This window comes from Homo sapiens, chromosome 1 (genome assembly GCF_000001405.40).
Source record: "Homo sapiens chromosome 1, GRCh38.p14 Primary Assembly".
Lineage (NCBI taxonomy): Eukaryota > Metazoa > Chordata > Mammalia > Primates > Hominidae > Homo > Homo sapiens.
Window position 1 is genome coordinate 209,436,703 of NC_000001.11, and position 19,476 is coordinate 209,456,178.

A 19,476-nucleotide genomic window follows, 5' to 3' on the forward strand; every position below is an offset into this window, starting at 1 on the left:
CTACTACTCTATCCGATCTCTTAATGATAGCATGAGAATTAGGTAAGATAATGCATGCAAACATGTTAGCAAGTGCCTAGGCCTAGTAAATTTCTTGCACTCAAAAATATTATTGATGATGGTAATCTCAGTATCAAGTAAAAGTATCTTCGAGAAGCTTGTCTAGTGCCCACTCAGCTGGAATAAGTAAGCATAGGCACACCTTTGGCTGCCAGAAATCCAGCATTAAACTTACTGTGCCATTTAGTCACACCTTCAGGCCAACCTTAACTTTTATCACAATTATCTCCTCCTCCCATCACCTTCCTTTTAGGAGAGTTTTCATTGCTTTGTTTACCTTTACATTTAGTATATGTATCATACTGTAGGAGCCTTGAGAGTTTTCTTTTTTAAAATTGTCATAAGATCAATGAGAAAGATACAACAATTTTTCCAGGGTAAGTGCCATTTCAAATTTTTACTTTATTTTTCTGAAGGCAGGTGAAAAGTACTGGTGAGAAAGAAGCTGGTGAAGAGCTAATAAAGAAAAAAAAAGTTGGTTTTTTGTTTGTTTGTTTTGTTTTTGTTTTTTGTTTTCTTTTTTGAGATGGAGTCTCACCCTGTCATCCAGGCTGGAGTACAGTGGCATGATCTCGGCTCACGGCAACCTCCTACTCCTGGGTTCAAGCGATTCTCCTGTCTCAGCCTCCCAAGTAGCTGGGACTACAGGCATACACCATCATGCCCGGCTAATTTTTGTATTTTTAGTAGAGATGGGGTTTGGCCATGTTGGCCAGGCTGGTCTCGGACTCCTGATCTCAGGTGATCTGCCTGCCTTGGCCTCCCAAAGCGCTGGGATTACAGGTGTGAGCCACTGTGCCTGGCCAAAAAGAAAATTCTGAGCACATAAGAAAGTAGAAGAATCAATAGAAATCAAGCAAGAAATAGCAAACCAGTGATCAGGGAGGAGGATGCAATCATGTTGCTGTGGCGTGGGCACTGAGCTTAGCAATGGAGAAGCAGCTTCTTGATGAAGCCCCATCCTGTGGGTTCCATCAAAGAAATTTCCAAAGTTGAGGCAGCTCTGACACCAGGAGTGTCATCCCCAGACTGGAGGTCACTCCCCAAGACCTTTCAGAGATGAGACTGGGGACCGTTATGTCACCTGGACCCCTTGGACACCTGGCTTCATATTACCACTCCCTCCTTTAAGTATCCAGCTAATTTTAAAGTATGAAGTTCTTGGCTGGAGAACACTCACCTGGCAAAGTTGCCAACATGAGGGAGATCCTCACCTGAAAATAGACAAAAAGCAGGCCAAAGGAGAAACTAAGACATTTTACGGAATGAGTTCCTTTTGTCTCATTACCTTACCCTGTGACCATCTGCCTTCTAAGAAGGAAGAAAGCCTTGAACAAAGAAAGTGTCCCTTTTAATAACAGAACCATATAAATTACATTTCATTACTATGCCATTATGGCACATTGCATTATAATCCAACTGTTAAAGGCCTCACCTCAGAAGCCCACATCATTCCACTTTGCCCTCCTGAACGCCTGGCTTTTAGCTGAGTCAATTTATCTACTGCAATTAGATCCAGGCTCCCTCCTTCCTGAGTCAAGTCCTTCCCAGCAATGGCAGCAACTTTCCTATGCCCCTCCACGGGGGCTCTATTTAACATTTCTTGCCACTCAGAGCTAATTTTGAAAGTTGCTATGGATTCATTAATCAATGACGTTTTTTTTTTTTTTAACTTTAATATGCTTACAATTTACCTGAGAATCTTGTAAAAATGCAGATTCTGATTCAGCACATGTGGGATGGGGCCTTAGATTCAGCCCTTATCACCAGCTCCCAGGTGATGTTACTGTGATGCCTGGATCACACTGTGAATAGCAAAGGCTTAGGGGGCTCAAGGTTCAAAACCCGGTTCTCCTACACTATTCCTCTCAGTTTAGCAGGAGGCCCAGACTCATGTCTCATCTTGGTGTCTCTCCTTTTCCTTTGGCTTCTCTTTCAAGTCACTGGTGTCTTAGCCAATCTGGGGAGACGGGAGAGGCCCAGAGAAGGCCACAGGAGGGTATGCTTGGCTTGTCACAGCAGCAAAGGCTCTGACAAATGATGAAGAAGATGGGGCCTTTTCTGAATGTGGAAATGGCCGGGTGATCCCTATTCAGGAAACACCAGTGGTTTAGAATAGTAAAAGTGCCCTAACACCTAATATGTGAGGTAGGTTACTGAGAAATGAAACGTTTGTGACCCAGAAACTAAGATAAAGCAACTTCAAGTAGTTCGACAAGTGACAACCAACCTGGAGCAAGTAACCATGAGTACACTTTCGCCGCCAGAAAATCCAGACCTAAACTTAGTGGGCAATTTTCAAGATTTAAGAAGAAAGGAGTTAAGTAATTTACCAAAAGTCAAGATTCTGGGCCAGGCCTTAAACTGACCCAATTTCTTCTGCCTCTTAGTCTAGTGTTGTTTCTAACAAGTCACTTTATTGCTGTGCTGAGAAGCTACTCCTCTCTCATTAACTTTACCATGTAGATTTATCATCACTCTAAAACTCAGTGCTTCCGTTCTTTTTTTTTTTTTTTTTTTTTTTTTGGGAATGGAATCTGTAGAGCTGAAAAAATTTAAAAATTAAATATTGAATATAAATATGTTTTTAAAGGATAGTTATAATGTTTAGCTACTTTTCTTTTCCAGTGTTTACTGGAGAAACAAACTCCATCAATAAATGAACATGCCAAGCAGTGATGTCGGATCAGAAAGTCAGTGACTGGGTGGGAAGAACTTAAGCTGAAGCAGGATAGATCTAGGTTCAAATCCAGTGTCTGTGGCCTTCAGCAAAACAGTAAATCTGTGCTTCAGTTTGTAAAATGTTACAAGGCAAAACAAAGTCCCTACCTTTCACCTTTCAAAGTCATTTCACATACAAAAAGTACTTCATGAATGATAAATATGAAAATAATTATTTTTATGTATCTCAATTGTAGTAGGATACTGAAGAGGATCAGAACATGCCATCTCAAATATACCAACTTGGCAAGAGAATTATTTTGACTTGAAGGCAAGTGAGAAGAAGCAGACATAGGAAAAGTTATTTTTCTCTCCCCTTAACTGCCTAAGAACAACATAAATTTTTTCGTTTGTAAAGGTAACATAAATTTCCAGTTGTAAGTGTGCCTCCCTGTGTTGTACCAGAAAGATAACTGTTCTAGCGGCAACACTTATTACCTGAGATGACTTATCGGACCTCATTACACAACTCTTAATTACCATACATTTTTCTAAACATCTTCCCACAACTTACCCCCACCACAGGAGCCCAAACTCCTTTTCCCTTGTCTAACTTTTTCTCCACATTTTATCACCCTTTGTTAAGATAGTATATAAGTTCTGAATTCTAATCTCCTTCTTTCACATTTCTTTATGAACTTCTGTGCATACCTACCCAATTAAGTGTTTTCTTCTTCTGTTAATCTGCTATTAATTAGTTTGACTTGTGGGCCCCAGCCAATGAACCTAAAAGGGTAGAGGAAGGATTATTTTCCCCCTACTAAACAGAGAAAAGAAAAGACAGGAGGACAAGGAGGGCTGAGGCAAGGCTATGAGGTCATAGCCATAAGGAAATTACAAGACACAGAAGGACTAGATGTTAACAAAGTAGAGGTCTAAAATAAAATGTTCAGGCTGAGCACAGTGATTCATGCCTGTAATCCCAGCACTTTGGGAGGCTGAGGCAGGCAGATCACCTGAGGTCAGGAGTTCAAGATCAGCCTGGTCAACATGGCAAAACCCTGTCTCTACTAAAAATACAAAAATTACCTGGGCATGGTGGTGCATGCCTGTAGTCCCAGCTACTAGGGGGGCTGAGGTGGGAGAACCACTTGAATCGGGGAGGCGGAGGTTGCAGTGAGCTGAGATCACACTATTGCACTCTAGCCTGGGGGACAGAGTGAGACTCTGTCTCACCAAAAAAAAAAAAAAAAAAAAAAAAAAGATAAAGAAAGGAAGAAAGAAAAGAAGAAGAAAATGTTCAGATAGGCATCTGTGGATTTAAAACCAAAGGGCAGGAAAAAAAAAGTTATTTATGGGTCCAAATGGATTTTGAAGGTGTAGGTAGAAAGAAGATATGCTATGGCCAAAAGTCAAAATAATATAGTGTTTCAACAGACTAAAGACACACAGTGTAAGAGTTCAGAAAGTGCGTTTCCCAGAATCAAGGTCAGGTAATGAATCAGAAAGCGAGGCAAGTTGGTGGACAAGACAGGCACCCACTACCAGAAACGAGCAAGAGGAGGCTGAGAGTTGACCTTGCTAGAGGCAAGCATCTGGACCAGTCAGGAGTTCCTCAGTTCTTCCTATCAGGGTATGGGCAGCTCAAAGCTTGCAGATAAGGGGAGAGAAGTAACTGTTTTTGAATGGATTCTAAGGAGAGTAATGGGGCAGCAACTGACAACAGATTCTGACACAGCATCATTAGTGTATTCCTGACCCACATTCAATTTGTCAAAAAATGCTTTTTAAAATTGAGTCTTTATTGAGAAGACATGCACCTAACTCTGATTTAAACAGGCAACATAGCTGCATGCAAAATAAGAGGTTAGATAGTATCTTTTTTATACCATCACTCTGTATGTAGAAGCAAAGATCTTATTTTGCATTCATATTCTATGTTCTGGATAAACTGTCAGGTCTCTCTGCCAGATTTTTATGGATAATTAGAAGGTTGCAAAAAGCAGATGTTATGAAACTATCTGTGACTACTCCTTAATGGTGGATGACAAGAACTCAGTACCATTTCTTAATTACACGAGACATAGTAAGAGGTGTAAAACAGAGGGAGAACTGTCAAAGCCTGACAAGATATCAAACAGTTAATCACCCACATTGAACCGGAACATTTTTCTACCATGTAATTCAGAACGCAGATCCCACCTTCCTATGGCTAAAAAAAAATTTAGCTATAAGTTGTGTGTGCTCCTGTGTTACTTCATTTCAGGTTTTAATAATTGATATAAGAGTACCTGCATGAAATAGGTGGCTTTTCTTTTGAAAACTAATCAAATAAGAAAATCTGCATCTTATGAAATACACAGACAATTTTGCTATGTCAGATCCTATTTAGTAGCATGAAAGGAAGCTACAGGATTTTGGAAAACTTGTTCTTGTCTCATGAAGACAATGACCACAACTAATATTTTTTGAGGTCTTGCCCTGTGCCAGGGGATATATAAGCTCTTCACTATGCATTATCTCATGCAATCCTCACAACTCTAAGAAGTAGGTGGACACTTCAATTAGCCCTATTTTACAGAAACGGAAACTAATAGGCAGGGAGCAGTGGCTCATGCCTGTAATCCCAACACTTTGGAAGGCTGAGGCTGGTGGATCACTTGAGCCCAGGAGTTCAAGCCAGCCTGACCAACATGGCAAAATTCCACATCTACTAAAAATATAAAAATTACCCAGCCATGGTAGTATGCACCTGTAATCCCAGCTACTTGGGAGGCTGAGGCAGGAGAATGACCTGAACCTGGGAGGCAGAGGTTGCAGTGAGCCGAGATCGTGCCACTGCACTCCAGCCTGGGTGACAGAGCAAGACTCTGTCTCAAAAAAAAAAAGAAAAAAGAAAAGGAAAGGAAACTAATAATAACAACAGTAACAACACAAACTCAATAGCTACTACTACTGGCAGTTATTAAATACTGGCAACATCTACACATTGTACTTTGCATACATCATCTCATTTAACAGGGCTGGTGCCATAATTATTTTTATTTTTATGTAACAGAAGAGGAAACTAAGGTATCAAGAGATTGAAAAATTGGCCCACATGATTTTAAGTGGCAGTGTCAGAGTTCCAAATCTAGTCTGTCTCTACACATAGTACATTTAACCCTTGGTCTATACTGCCTCTGTTTGCCTGGTGACTATAATGGGCTGAATTCTCTTCCCCCAAAAATCATATGTTGATGTCCTACCTCGCATATGTTGATGTGACTGTGTTTGGAGATAGGTCCTTTAAAGAGGTAATTAAGTTTAAATTGGGTCATATGACTGGGTTCTAATCCACTGTGACTGGTGTCCTTATAAGAATAAAAGATTTGTGGCTCGTGCCTGTAATCCCAGCACTTTGGGATGCCAAGGCAGGCAGATCACTGGAGGTCAGGAGTTTGAGATCAGCCTGGCCAACATGGAGAAACCCCATCTCTACTAAAAATACACAAATTAGCCGGGTGTGATGGTGTGTGCCTGTAATCCCAGTTACTCAGGAGGCTGAAGCAAGAGAATCGCTTGAGTCCAGGAGGCAGAGGTTGCAATGAGCCGAGATCGTGCCACTGCCCTTCAGCCTGGGCAATAGAGCGAGACCCCATCACTAAAACAAAAGAGAAAGAAAAAGAAAAAAGATCAGGACTCAGATACGCACAGAGGAACCCATGTGAAGACAGTCGTCTAAAGTCACAGAGAGAGGCCTCAGAGGTTATCAACCCTGACAATACCTTGATCTTAGACCTGTAGCTTCCAGGACTATGAGAAAATCGATTTCTGTTGTTTAAGTCACCCAGTCTGTGGCAATTTGTCATGGCAGCTCTAGCAAATGAACACAGTGGCCCTGTTTAAGTCCCCTAACTTCTGTATGTCTCAGTCCCTTGAGCTGGAAGACGTCTAGGGTCCTTCCCAAGTAAAGCACCCCATGCTTGCCATGCTTTAGTATCTTCACCCTCCTGGACACCCAGCAGGGGCTTCTTTCCAGGGCTTCAGAACTGACAATTTTCCTCATGCTTCAGCCTCTTCTACTCTTCCCACCCATTGCTTCTGGTAATGTGGAAGGCTCACGTAAGAAACAGCAAGGGGCGTAGCCCCGGAGCAAACAGGAGGTGAGAGCCAGATGATGTAAGCTCAGTGGGAATCTCTGGGGCGGAGCTTCTCCACCTACTTCTAAAACACCTGCCCAACTATTCAACCATTATTTATAAATTTACTTATATGATACAATTATTTATAAATGTGCATTTGTCATCATTTATAAATTACTCATGGTATACAAAGCACTATACTGAGTGCTGAGATACAATGCCAAAAACAAAACAGAAACAGGTCCCTACCCTCCTTGAGGATACAATAGAAGGGGGAAGAAAATATGAGTCAAATAATGGCACTATTTTTCAAAAATGCAATTTAAAACAAAAACAGATACTCTGACGGGAAGGCAGAGAGCCCTTTAGACTTTTTATGGAGACTTTTGTTCTTGAATCAGAAGTGAGGCAAAAGTGCAAGTACTCCAGGAAGAGACAGCATACTGACTTAAAGTCACACCAAGCTATAAATGACTAAATCAGTCCTTTTCCTAGAACTAAGCTTTCTGAGGAGAATAAAATAGCAGAGATAATGGAGTGCTGGAAGTGGGGAAAGAACATAGAAAAGAAATGGTGAAGAACTGAAGATAAATGTCTGCTGTTTTGCAACTTTGCCTGGGGCCAACCCAGGCTCTGTTCTACACTCCTGTTACAGTGAGTCTATTAGTGTTTACTCAGGTCCTACTGAGAAAAGAAGAGAAAAAGAGAGCACCATTCTCTATAGGAAGATAGAAAAATTACTAGTAAATGAAAAAGCACCTTCTCTGCAACGTCAGGAGCTTTCTCTTAAATTGAATAAGCAGGTACACACCCAAGAATAATTAGACAATGATGACAACTCTGTTCAGACTGCCTGTCCTTGTTTTCCCAGCAGTAAAATCCAAATGCATTTCATTCTGCAACAAACACGGATTGAGAGGCCACAATGAGTCAGGCACGGTGTTAGGTACCAGGGCTGGAAAGAGGAAAATTGCATGGTCATGTCCTCAGCATTTAGGAGTTCACTGTGGAGGAAGAAATTCAGACTCATAAACAGTCACTGCACTGTAATGCAACAAACACAATGCCAGAGGGTACAGAACACCAGAGGATGGGGATGTGGGACCCACATTTTAAAGTTGGATCAGAATAGAAAAAGATCAATCAGGGAAGCTTACTTGGTGATGGTCTTTGAGCAAGACCTGAAACCAAAGGGTAAACTAGACCATAATTATAATATGGAAGGAAATTATTTGCTATTGACTGTTCTAGGCAGCAAGGAATGTGGACTGCGGAGAGAAGGGCAACCCAATGATGGTAATAATAGTGGTGGAGTTTGCAAGATAGGTGTTTGCAGTAGTTTCTCAGCAAGCAGAATATGAGACAGAGATGTCATTTAAAGATTTCTCATGATTCAAAACCTATAGAAAGAGAGGAAGAAAACAGGTTTGGGCAGGGGGAGAAGTTGAGATATGATGTGGATCGAATGACAACTTCAGAAGATTCACAGAAACTTCTGGAGCTCAAGTGTCTCTTCAGAGTTATCCTGCATTGGGGGTGAATGGGCTGAGCTGTTATAACCCCATGATGATAAGTCATTGCATGTGGGTGGCCCCTGGAAGAAGGCATGACCTCAGCTGAGTCTGTTTTCTCAGGTTGAGACAATCCCCTCAGAAGTGCTGACAACTGAGGGTCATCTGCCAGCAGCACCCACCACAGCAGCTGGGGTAATTAATTCTTCATTCCCAAAAGGGGATCTGAGCAACATATCACAGCACGCGGCACAGTGCACCTCTTACACCATTTGGATCCACTTCTTCACCAAAGTCCTAGGAGCAGTTCCTCCAGCATTCTTGTAAACCCCTGGTTGGGGAGGGAACTTGGAAGATGAAGGTCAGTGGGATCGCCTACAGTCCCCACCATGGCAATTGGCTTTGGAGCTACAATTGACATTCTCACCATCCTCTGTTATCCATTATAGATCCCCTTACTCTCAGCTAGTATCCCTGCTGCTTTTGCTATCCTATTGGTGGCATGAGCTAGACCCTAACAGGATCTGTACTCCTGGTTACCATGCCCTCCTCAGGCCAAGGTTGCTGCACATCCTTCTAAAATTGGTCAAGAGAGTCTCAAAAGATGCCCAAGTGGATCATCTGAGTATCAAACCTAATTCCCTCTGCTCCTAGCAGCCCTGCCTCTTCCTGCTGACCAGAGTAAATCACTCTAGCCAACTAGTGACTCCTCTTCTTGCCTGCTGGTTCCTAAGCACAATGAGTTTGAAGTGCCAAAGCAGTAATAGTTTATAATTCAGCCAGGTGCCTGCTGTGTCCCTTGGCAGCAGTATTTTTTCCTTTAGAAAATGGAGGCCTGGCACGATGGCTCATGCCTGTCTGTAATCCCAGCACTTTGGGAGGCCAAGGCCGGCGGATCACGAGGTCAGGATATCGAGACCATCCTGGCCAACATGGCGAAACCCCATCTCTACTAAAAATACAAAACTAGCTTGGCATGGTGGCATGTGCCTGTAGTCCCAGCTATTTGGGAGGCTGAGGCAGGAGAACCGCTTGAACCTGGGAGGCGGAGGTTGCAGTGAGCCAAGATTGCACTACTGCACTCCAGCCTGGTAAAACAGCCAGACTCCGTCAAAAAAAAGAAAAGAAGGTGGAACTTTTATATACGCAGAGCTTTGAGTTCTGGGGATGAGAAGCCCATGTTCCCCAAGTGGCTCACTAGGAGTGGGGCTCTGGTTTCTACCATTTGGTTTCCATACTTATGAATCCTACATATTAGGTGCATAGCACTGTATAAAATTTTTTATTTAAGGTATATGCTGTTTCCTGAAAGATAGCACCACATCCCCTGAGATGGCACTACTGTGTGCCTTGAGTAGGTTATTGCATCACTCTATCAGGCCAGCATTTTTAGGTGGTGTAGTATGTGATATGATCAGCAGATTCCCCGTCAAGTGCTCACCAACTCAACTCTTTGGCAGTAAAGTATGTCCCATGTACTGATGCCATGTTATGTGAAATCCTGTGCCAATGGATTAGGTACTCTACAAGCCTCCAATAGTGATGCTGGCTGTGATCCTGTTGGCATGACAGGCAAATCCATATCTGGAATATGTGTATATTCATGTCAAAATAAAGTGCTGCCTCCTATTCACAACAGCAAAGACATGGAATCAACCTAAATGCCCACCAATGATAGAACTAGATAAAGAAAATGTTGTACATATACACCATGGAATACTATGCAGTCATAAAAGGGACCAAGATCATGTCCTTTGCAGGGACATGGATGGAGTTGGAAGCCATTATCCTTGCTTGGCAGACTAACACAGGAACAGAAAACCAAACACTGCATGTTCTCACTTATAAGGGGGAGCTGAATGATGAGAACACAGGGACACATGGAGGGGAACAACACACACTGGGGTCTGTCAGAGGTGGGTGGGGAGGAAGAGAGCATCAGGAAGAATAGCTAATGAATGCTGGACTTAATACCTAAGTGATGGGATGATCTGTGCAGCAAGCCACCATGGCACACATTTACCTGTGTAACAAACCTGCACATCCTGCACGCGTAACCCAGAACTTAAAAGTTGAAGGAAAAATAAATAAATAAAGTGCCGCCTCTTCCAAAGTAGAAGAGATCCAATATAGTCAACTTGCCACCAAGTGGCCAGTTGTTCTCCTTGAGGGATGGTGTTGAATCTGTCGTTCTCTGTTGCTAGCAGGTTGGTCATTAGACAGTGACAGTAGATAAATCAGCCTTGGGTGTTCATGCTGCTGTGCCCATGGGCAGCCTCCAACCCTGCCAGCATGATTCATATTCATTGGTCCATTTTGCCAACACAGGAGTGGCCAATAATAGATCCTTTCAGCATACTTGGTTCTGTAATATCTGTTCTGTGGTAGAATGTGCTCCAATAGGCATAAAAAATGTGATATAAAAATCTTCACACTTTAGGCCTGCTTCCATATGTCTATCTTCATGCCCCTAGCCCATACCTCCTTGTCCCAATCTTCCAATCCTTTTTTTTTTTTTTTTTTTTTTTTTTTTGAGACAGAATCTTGCTCTGTCACCCAGGCTGGAATGCAGTGGCACGATCTCGGCTCACTGCAAACTCCACCTCCTGGGTTCAAGCGATTCTCCTGTCTCAGCTTCCCGAGTCACTGGCATTACAGGCACTGCCACCACGCCCAGCTAATTTTTGTATTTTTAGTAGGGACGGGGTTTCACCATGGTGTCCAGGCTGGTCTCGAACTCCTGATCTCAAGCGATCCTCCCACCTCGGCCTCCCAAAGTGCTGGGATTACAGGCATGAGCCATTGCACCCAGCCCCAGTCTTGTTATATCCAAATTCCTACTTAGCCAGCCTACCCACTCCCCATAACTCATGAGTCCACATATATTCTAGCCTTGGAACACTTGTTTTTACACACAAACTGGATGATTAGGTGGGCTTCCTTAGCTCTTCCCACTATGAAGATTTTCTCCCATTTCAATCTCACCCTGAGTGGAGCTATAGTTCAGCTACCAAACATACCCACAACTAAGCCAACCCATCCATGAATCACAATCAGGTTTTTTTCTTCTTTCATCAACAGATCATAGGGAATACCATGTGTAGCCACATATGTGAGCTGAGGAAAAGGTTCTGGTGTAACTGTGGCAGAGGTCATGAGACCTGGGCCACCTGATAGCGCAGCTTGCTTGTGCCTTTTGGTCCTGTCTGTGTACAATTCTAGATATATCACTTCCATCATAAGAAAGCCAGGCCCTCAGAAAGCCAGGCCCTCCTGACCTTATGACTTGGTGGCTCTGAACAAACTTAGCTTATGATGGCCAATCCCAAATGCATGCTAACTTAATGTCTGATGATCAAGCATTCCAGCCCTATGGGGAGCATTAACACTTTATGAGCTGTTTTTCAAATGGTATGTAATTCTCTGTTACAGATAATACAGCCTTGCCCAAGAATTCCAGGTATCTATGTTGTGATTCTCTCACTGAACTAATTCCTTTCCTTTCACCTTCCTTCCTTCTTCCTTCCTTCCTTCCTTCTTGATACATAATATTTGTACATATTCATGTGGTAGATGTGATATTTTGATACATGCATATAATGTGTAATGATCAAATCAGGCTATTTAGGGTATCCTGATTTAGTATTTAGGATTACCTTGAACATTTATCATTTCTTTGTGTTGGAGACATTTCAAATCTCTTCTAGCTATTTTGAAATACACAATACATCATTAACTATAGTCAGTGTCAGGCCTCTGAGCCCAAGCCAAGCCATCACATCCCCTGTGACCTGCACCTATACGCCCAGATGGCCTGAAGTAACTGAAGAATCACAAAAGAAGTGAATATGCCCTGCCCCACCTTAACTGATGACATTCCACCACAAAAGAAGTGTAAATGGCCGGTCCTTGCCTTAACTGATGACATTACCTTGTGAAAGTCCTTTTCCTGGATCATCCTGGCTCAAAAAGCACCCCCACTGAGCACCTTGCGACCCCTACTCCTTCCCGCCAGAGAACAAACCCCCTTTGACGGTAATTTTCCTTTACCTACCCAAATCCTATAAAAACGGCCCCACCCTTATCTCCCTGGGCTGACTCTCTTTTCGGACTCAGCCCGCCTGCACCCAGGTGAAATAAACAGCCATGTTGCTCACACAAAGCCTGTTTGGTGGTCTCTTCACACGGACGCGCATGAAATTTGGTGCTGTGACTCGGATCGGGGGACCTCCCTTGGGAGATCAATCCTCCGTCCTCCTGCTCTTTGCTCCATGAGAAAGATCCACCTACGACCTCAGGTCCTCAGACCGACCAGCCCAAGGAACATCTCACCAATTTTAAATCAGGTAAGTGGCCTCTTCTTACTCTCTTCTCCAACCTCTCTCACTGTCCCTCAACCACTTTCTCCTTTCCACTCTTCAATCTCTCCCTTCTCTTAATTTCAATTCCTTTCATTTTCTGGGAGAGACAAAGGAGACGCATTTTATCCGTGGATCCAAAACTCCGGCACCGGTCAGGGACTGGGAAGGCAGCCTTCCCTTGGTGTTTAATCATTGCAGGGACACCTCTCTGATTATACACCCACGTTTCAAGGGTGTCCGACAATGCAGGGATGCCTGCCTTGGTCCTTCACCCTTAGTGGCAAGTCCTGCTTTTCTGGGGAAGGGGCAAGTACCCCTCAACCCCTTCTCTCCTTGTCTCTACCCCTTCTCTGCTTTCCTGGGGGAGGGGCAAGTACCCCTCAACCCCTTCTCCTTCACCCTTAGTGGCAAGTCCTGCTTTCCTGGGGCAGGGGCAAGTATCCCTCAACCCCTTCTCCTTCACCCTTAGTGGCAAGTCCCGCTTTCCTGGGGCAGGGGCAAGTACCCCTCAACCCCTTCTCCTTCACCCTGAGCGGCAAGTCCCACTTTCCTGGGGGGCAAGAACCCCCCAATCGCTTATTTCCACACCCCAACCTCTTATCTCTGTGCCCCAATCTCTTATCCCTTATTTCTGCACCCTGACCTCTTATCTCTGTGCCCCAATCCCTTATTTCCATGCCCCAACCCCTTCTCTGCTTTCCTGGAGGGCAAGAACCCCCCACCCCTTCTCTGTGTCTCTGCTCTTTTCTCTGGGCTTGCCTCCTTCACTATGGGTAAGCTTCCACCTTCCATTCCTCCTTCTTCTCCCTTAGCCTGTGTTCTCAAAAACTTAAAACCTCTTCAACTCACACCTGACCTAAAACCTAAATGCCTTATTTTCTTCTGCAATGCCGCTTGACCCCAATACAAACTCGACAGTAGTTCCAAACAGCCAGAAAATGGCACTTTGAATTTTTCCATCCTGCAAAATCTAAATAATTCTTGTCGTAAAATAGGCAAACGGTCTGAGGTGCCTGACGTCCAGGCATTCTTTTACACATCAGTCCCTTCCTAGTCTCTGTGCCCAGTGCAACTCGTCCCAAATCTTCCTTCTTTCCCTCCCGCCTGTCCCCTCAGTACCAACCCCAAGCGTCGCTGAGTCTTTCTAATCTTCCTTTTCTACAGACCCATCTGACCTCTCCCTTCCTCCCCAGCCTGCTCCTCGCCAGGCCGAGCTAGGTCCCAATTCTTCCTCAGCCTCTGCTCCTCCACCCTATAATCTTTTTATCACCTCCCCTCCTCACACCTGGTCCGGCTTACAGTTTCGTTCCATGACTAGCCCTCCCCCACCTGCCCAGCAATTTACTCTTAAAAAGGTGGCTGGAGCCAAAGGCATAGTCAAGGTTAATGCTCCTTTTTCTTTATCCCAAATCAGATAGCGTTTAGGCTCTTTTTCATCAAATATAAAAATCCAGCCCAGTTCATGACTTGTTTGGCAGCAACCCTGAGACACTTTACAGCCCTAGACCCTAAAAGGTCAAAAGGCCGTCTTATTCCCAATATACATTTTATTACCCAATCTGCTCCCGACATTAAATAAAACTCCAAAAATTAGAATCTGGCCCTCAAACCCCACAACAGAACTTAATTAACCTCACCTTCAAGGTGTACAATAATAATAAAAAAAAAACAGTTGCAATTCCTTGCCTCCATTGTGAGACAAACCCCAGCCACATCTCCAGCACACAAGAACTTTCAAACCGCAGCAGCCAGGCGTTCCTCCAGAACCTCCTCCCCCAGGAGCTTGCTACATGTGCGGGAAATCTGGCCACTGGGCCAAGGAATGCCCGCAGCCCAGGATTCCTCCTAAGCTGCGTCCCATCTGTGTGGGACCCCACTGAAAATCGGACTGTTCAACTCACCTGGCAGCCACTCCCAGAGCCCCTGGAACTCTGGCCCAAGGCTCTCTGACTCCTTCCCAGATCTTCTCAGCTTAGCGGCTGAAGACTGACGCTGCCGGATCGCCTCGGAAGCCCCCAGACCATCACGGATGCCGAGCTTCGGGTAACTCTCACAGTGGAGGGTAAGTCCGTCCCCTTCTTAATCAATACGGAGGCTACCCACTGCACATTACCTTCTTTTCAAGGGCCTGTTTCCCTTGCCTCCATAACTGTTGTGGGTATTGACAGCCAGGCTTCTAAACCTCTTAAAACTCCCCAACTCTGGTGCCAACTTGGACAACACTCTTTTTTAGTTATCCCCACCTGCCAGTTCCTTATTAGGCCGAGATATTTTAACCAAATTAACTACTTTCCTGACTATTCCTGGACTACAGCTACATCTCATTGCCGCCCTTCTCCCCAACCCAAAGCCTCCTTCGCGTCTTCCTCTCATATCCCCCCACTTTAACCCACAAGTATGAGACATCTGTACTCCTTCCCTGGCAACCGATCACATGCCCATTACCATCCCATTAAAACCTAATCACCCTTACCCTGCTCAACGCCAATATCCCATCCCGCAGCAGGCTTTAAAAGGATTAAAGCCTGCTATCACTCGCCTGCTACAGCATGGGCTTCTAAAACCTATAAACTCTCCTTACCATTCCCCCATTTTACCTGTCCTAAAACCAGACAAGGCTTACGAGTTAGTTCAGAATCTGCGCCTTATCAACCAAATTGTTTTGCCTATCCACCCCATGGTGCCAAACCCATATACTCTTCTATCCTCAATACCTCCCTCTACTACCCATTATTCTGTTCTAGATCTCAAACATGCTTTCTTTACTATTCCTTTGCACCCTTCATCCCAGTCTCTCTTTGCTTTCACTTAGACTGACCCTGACACCCATTAGGCTCAGCAAATTACCTGGGCTGTACTGCCGCAAAGCTTCACAGACAGCCCCCATTACTTCAGTCAAGCCCAAATTTCATCCTCATCTGTTACCTATCTTGGCATAATTATCATAAAAACACACGTGCTCTCCCTGCTGATCGTGTCTGATTAATCTCCCAAACCTCAATCCCTTACAAAACAACAACTCCTTTCCTTCCTAGGCCTGGTTAGTGCGGTCAGAATTCTTACACAAGAGCCAGGACCGCACCCTGTAGCCTTTCTGTCCAAACAACTTGACATTACTGTTTTAGCCTAGCCCTCATGTCTGCGTGCAGCAGGTGCCGCTGCTTTAATACTTTTAGAGGCCCTCAAAATAAGTAGAGGCCTTTCCTACAGGGTCTGAGAAGGCCACCACAGTCATTTCTTCCCTTCTGTTAGACATAATTCCTCAGTTTAGCCTTCCCACCTCTATACAGTCTGATAACAGACCAGCCTTTATTAGTCAAATCAGCCAAGCATATTTTCAGGCTCTTAGTATTCAGTGACAGACTAATGGTCTATTAGAAACACACCTCACCAAGCTCAGCAACCAACTTAAAAAGGACTGGACAATACTTTTACCACTTTCACTTCTCAGAATTCAGGCCTGTCCTCGGAATGCTACAAGGTACAGCCCATTTGAGCTCCTTTGTATTAGGCCCCAGTCTCATTCCAGACACTGGACCAACTTAGACTGTGCCCCAAAAAAACTTGTCATCCCTACTATCTCCTGTCTAGCCATACTCCTATTCACCGTTCTCAACTACTCATACATGCCCTGCTCTTGTTTACACTGCCGGTTTACACTGTTTCTCCAAGCCATCACAGCTATCTCCTGGTGCTATCCCCAAACTGCCACTCTTAACTCTTGAAGTAAATAAATAATCTTTGCTGGCAGGACTATGCTGAATCTCCTTAGGCACTCTCTAATCAGATGTTCTAGGTCCTCCCAATTCTTAGACCATTTATACCCGTTTTTCCCCTTCTCTTATTTCATTTAGTTTTTCAATTCATACAAAGCCGTATCCAGGCCATCACCAATCATTCTATATGACAAATGTTTCTTCTAACATCCCCACAATATCACCCCTTACCACAAGACCTCCCTTCAGCTTAATCTCTCCCACTCTAGGTTCCCACGCCGCCCCTAATCCCGCTTGAAGCAGCCCTGAGAAACATCGCCCATTCTCTCTCCATACCACCCCCCAAAAATTTTCACCGCCCCAACACTTCAACACTATTTTGTTTTATTTTTCTTATTAATATAAGAAGGCAGGAATGTCAGGCCTCTGAGCCCAAGCCAAGCCATCACATCCCCTGTGACCTGCACCTATACGCCCAGATGGCCTGAAGTAACTGAAGAATCACAAAAGAAGTGAATATGCCCTGCCCCACCTTAACTGATGACATTCCACCACAAAAGAAGTGTAAATGGCCGGTCCTTGCCTTAACTGATGACGTTACCTTGTGAAAGTCCTTTTCCTGGCTCATCCTGGCTCAAAAAGCTCCCCCACTGAGCACCTTGTGGCCCCTACTCCTTCCCGCCAGAGAACAAACCCCCTTTGACTGTAATTTTCCTTTACCTACCCAAATCCTATGAAACAGCCCCACCCTTATCTCCCTGGGCTGACTCTCTTTTCGGACTCAGCCCGCCTGCACCCAGGTGAAATAAACAGCCATGTTGTTCACACAAAGCCTGTTTGGTGGTCTCTTCACACGGACACACGTGAAAGTCAGTCTACTATGCTATGGAACACTAGAACTTATTCTTTCTATCCAGCTAATGTTTGTACCCATTAACCAACCCCTCTTCATCCCTACATATTCCCTCCCCCACACCACACACACACACACCCTTCTCATTCTCTGGTAACTATCATTTAAATCTTTACCTCATTGAACTCAATTCCTTCTTGCACCACCTGCCACGGAAATTTTGGCGTTTCTACCTAACTTAGTGTACCCTCTTCCCACGAAGAAATTTCCTTTCCTGCCTTGCTCTTCTATTTTTGTTTATTCATTAAATACTTACTGAGTTCTTAATACGTGCCAGGCACTGTGCTAGGTGTTTCAGGTTCAAAGAATAGGGCCCAGTACCTACTGTCAATAGCTTACAAACTAGTTGAAAATGTGTGTGTTTAATCTAGATAAGATACATTCAATGTGTCACTTAACAACAGGAACATATTCTGAGAAATGCATCTTTAGGTGATTTTGTCATTGTGCAAACACCATAGAGCATACATCTGCAAACCTTGATGGTATAGCCTACTACACGCCTAAGCTATATGGTATGGCCTATTACTCCCAGGCTACAAACCTGTACTGCATGTTACTGTACTGAATACTGCAGACATCTGTAACACAATGGTAAGTATTTGTGTATTTAAATGTATCTAAACTTGGAAAAAGTTATGTGTTGAGCCATGATGTTATGAAAGCTATGTCACTAGGCAACAGGAATTTTTCAGCTCCCTTATAATCTTATGGGACCAATGTTGCATATGTGGTTTGTCAATGACTGAAATATCATTATGTGGTGTGTGACTGTAGTTGAAAATGAAAGTAGAGGGCATAAGGTTATGTTTTATACTTCTGTGTGATCCACTGCACATAGCATGTGGAAAGAATAAACGAATAAATAGGAAATCAAATGAAGGAATGTGAAACCTAACTAACCTACTGAGATAACAGCACCATGTCCATAAGGCACTTCTAACCTTATGGGTGCAGCTCTCTGTAGCTCTCTGTGTTTTCCAGCTCATCTTTGGCTTTTATCTTGGGAGACATCTGGTTTCACAACATGTCTTCATGGGACAATCAGGCACTATGGTTGCCCTCTATCTCTGTCATGGCATGTGAAGGGGGATGGGTAGAGAGTTCCAGATGTGAGCCTCTGGATTCTTTGCAAATACTGTTCCCTTTTTCTGGGTTATTCAAGAAAAACAATTGTCTTTTCCTGTTAAAATTACCAACACCCTGCTCACAGCATCACCATCAAGCTTTGAGAGACAGAGCAGCTAAAAACGACTCACAGCAAATGGCCACGGATGAGTCAGAAACACTTAAAAGCTGTGATCAGGGGCCAGTTCAGTGCACAGTGCTCCATGGTTAGGCAAGCAGGAGTCACCTCCAGGGAGGCTAACAATTATTCCCATCCCCTTGAATGCTAAGCACCACCCCCCAAGCACCTGGCTTCTCGTTAATTTACCTGTGACATGTTGCTACACTTAATTGCATTTGACAATTAGTAACATTTCAACACCTCTTTTAATGGAACAATTAAAACAGTGCTTGTTTCAGTTGCAAGAAAATATATGAGCTGATTTGTCAGAGGAAAAGAAAAAAAAGACCAAACATAAACCTCCAGTGATAATTCAGTTATAGACAGCTTTGAGGTAAGCCCCTTCCCTTTTGCATTTTCCAAGAATTGTGTAAAACACATTTTCATGTCTGTTTGTTTGTTGCTTGGTTTCCCTGAATGAGCATTTCTCACCAGACAGCTCCTGGCTGTCTGTGCAGCCACGTGATATTAATTACAAGGAAGAATGGATGCTAAGCAGTTGCTGTTACTCATTTCTCACTCGTGTTGTTGCATTGATTGCTTGGGAAAGCAGATGCCCCAAAGGCAGCTCTTCCACACAATCAATGGGAGCCCTGGGGAGAGCCGTGAAGTCTTTGAGTCTTTGTCCTGGCTCCCATTTCTCTCCAAGTAACAGACACGAGAGAAAGTGTGGCCTCCTTATTCTCCTTGGGGTCCCTGAAAGAAACTTAAATAATTCTTATTTTTATTATCCTCCCCTCCCCTATTAGTAACAGAGAAAAATTATGCTGCTCTGTTATTGCAAACGCTTACCTCACAGCAATAGTTTACAAGTCTTTGGACTCATGAATAACTCAATATTA

The 19,476-nt window shown here is 43.9% G+C and overlaps 4 annotated features.

The window, feature by feature from the left end:
• Positions 11,302-11,982: an enhancer, noted in NCBI's record as "NANOG-H3K4me1 hESC enhancer chr1:209621349-209622029 (GRCh37/hg19 assembly coordinates)". NCBI's record gives its function as "activates a minimal SCP1, AML or CMV promoter by ChIP-STARR-seq in naive H9 embryonic stem cells {active_cell/tissue: H9 hESC(naive)}" and the evidence as "EXISTENCE:reporter gene assay evidence [ECO:0000049][PMID:30033119]".
• Positions 11,983-12,663: an enhancer, noted in NCBI's record as "OCT4-NANOG-H3K27ac hESC enhancer chr1:209622030-209622710 (GRCh37/hg19 assembly coordinates)". NCBI's record gives its function as "activates a minimal SCP1, AML or CMV promoter by ChIP-STARR-seq in naive and primed H9 embryonic stem cells {active_cell/tissue: H9 hESC(naive and primed)}" and the evidence as "EXISTENCE:reporter gene assay evidence [ECO:0000049][PMID:30033119]".
• Positions 15,387-16,066: an enhancer, noted in NCBI's record as "H3K27ac hESC enhancer chr1:209625434-209626113 (GRCh37/hg19 assembly coordinates)". NCBI's record gives its function as "activates a minimal SCP1, AML or CMV promoter by ChIP-STARR-seq in primed H9 embryonic stem cells {active_cell/tissue: H9 hESC(primed)}" and the evidence as "EXISTENCE:reporter gene assay evidence [ECO:0000049][PMID:30033119]".
• Positions 16,625-17,264: an enhancer, noted in NCBI's record as "OCT4-NANOG-H3K27ac hESC enhancer chr1:209626672-209627311 (GRCh37/hg19 assembly coordinates)". NCBI's record gives its function as "activates a minimal SCP1, AML or CMV promoter by ChIP-STARR-seq in primed H9 embryonic stem cells {active_cell/tissue: H9 hESC(primed)}" and the evidence as "EXISTENCE:reporter gene assay evidence [ECO:0000049][PMID:30033119]".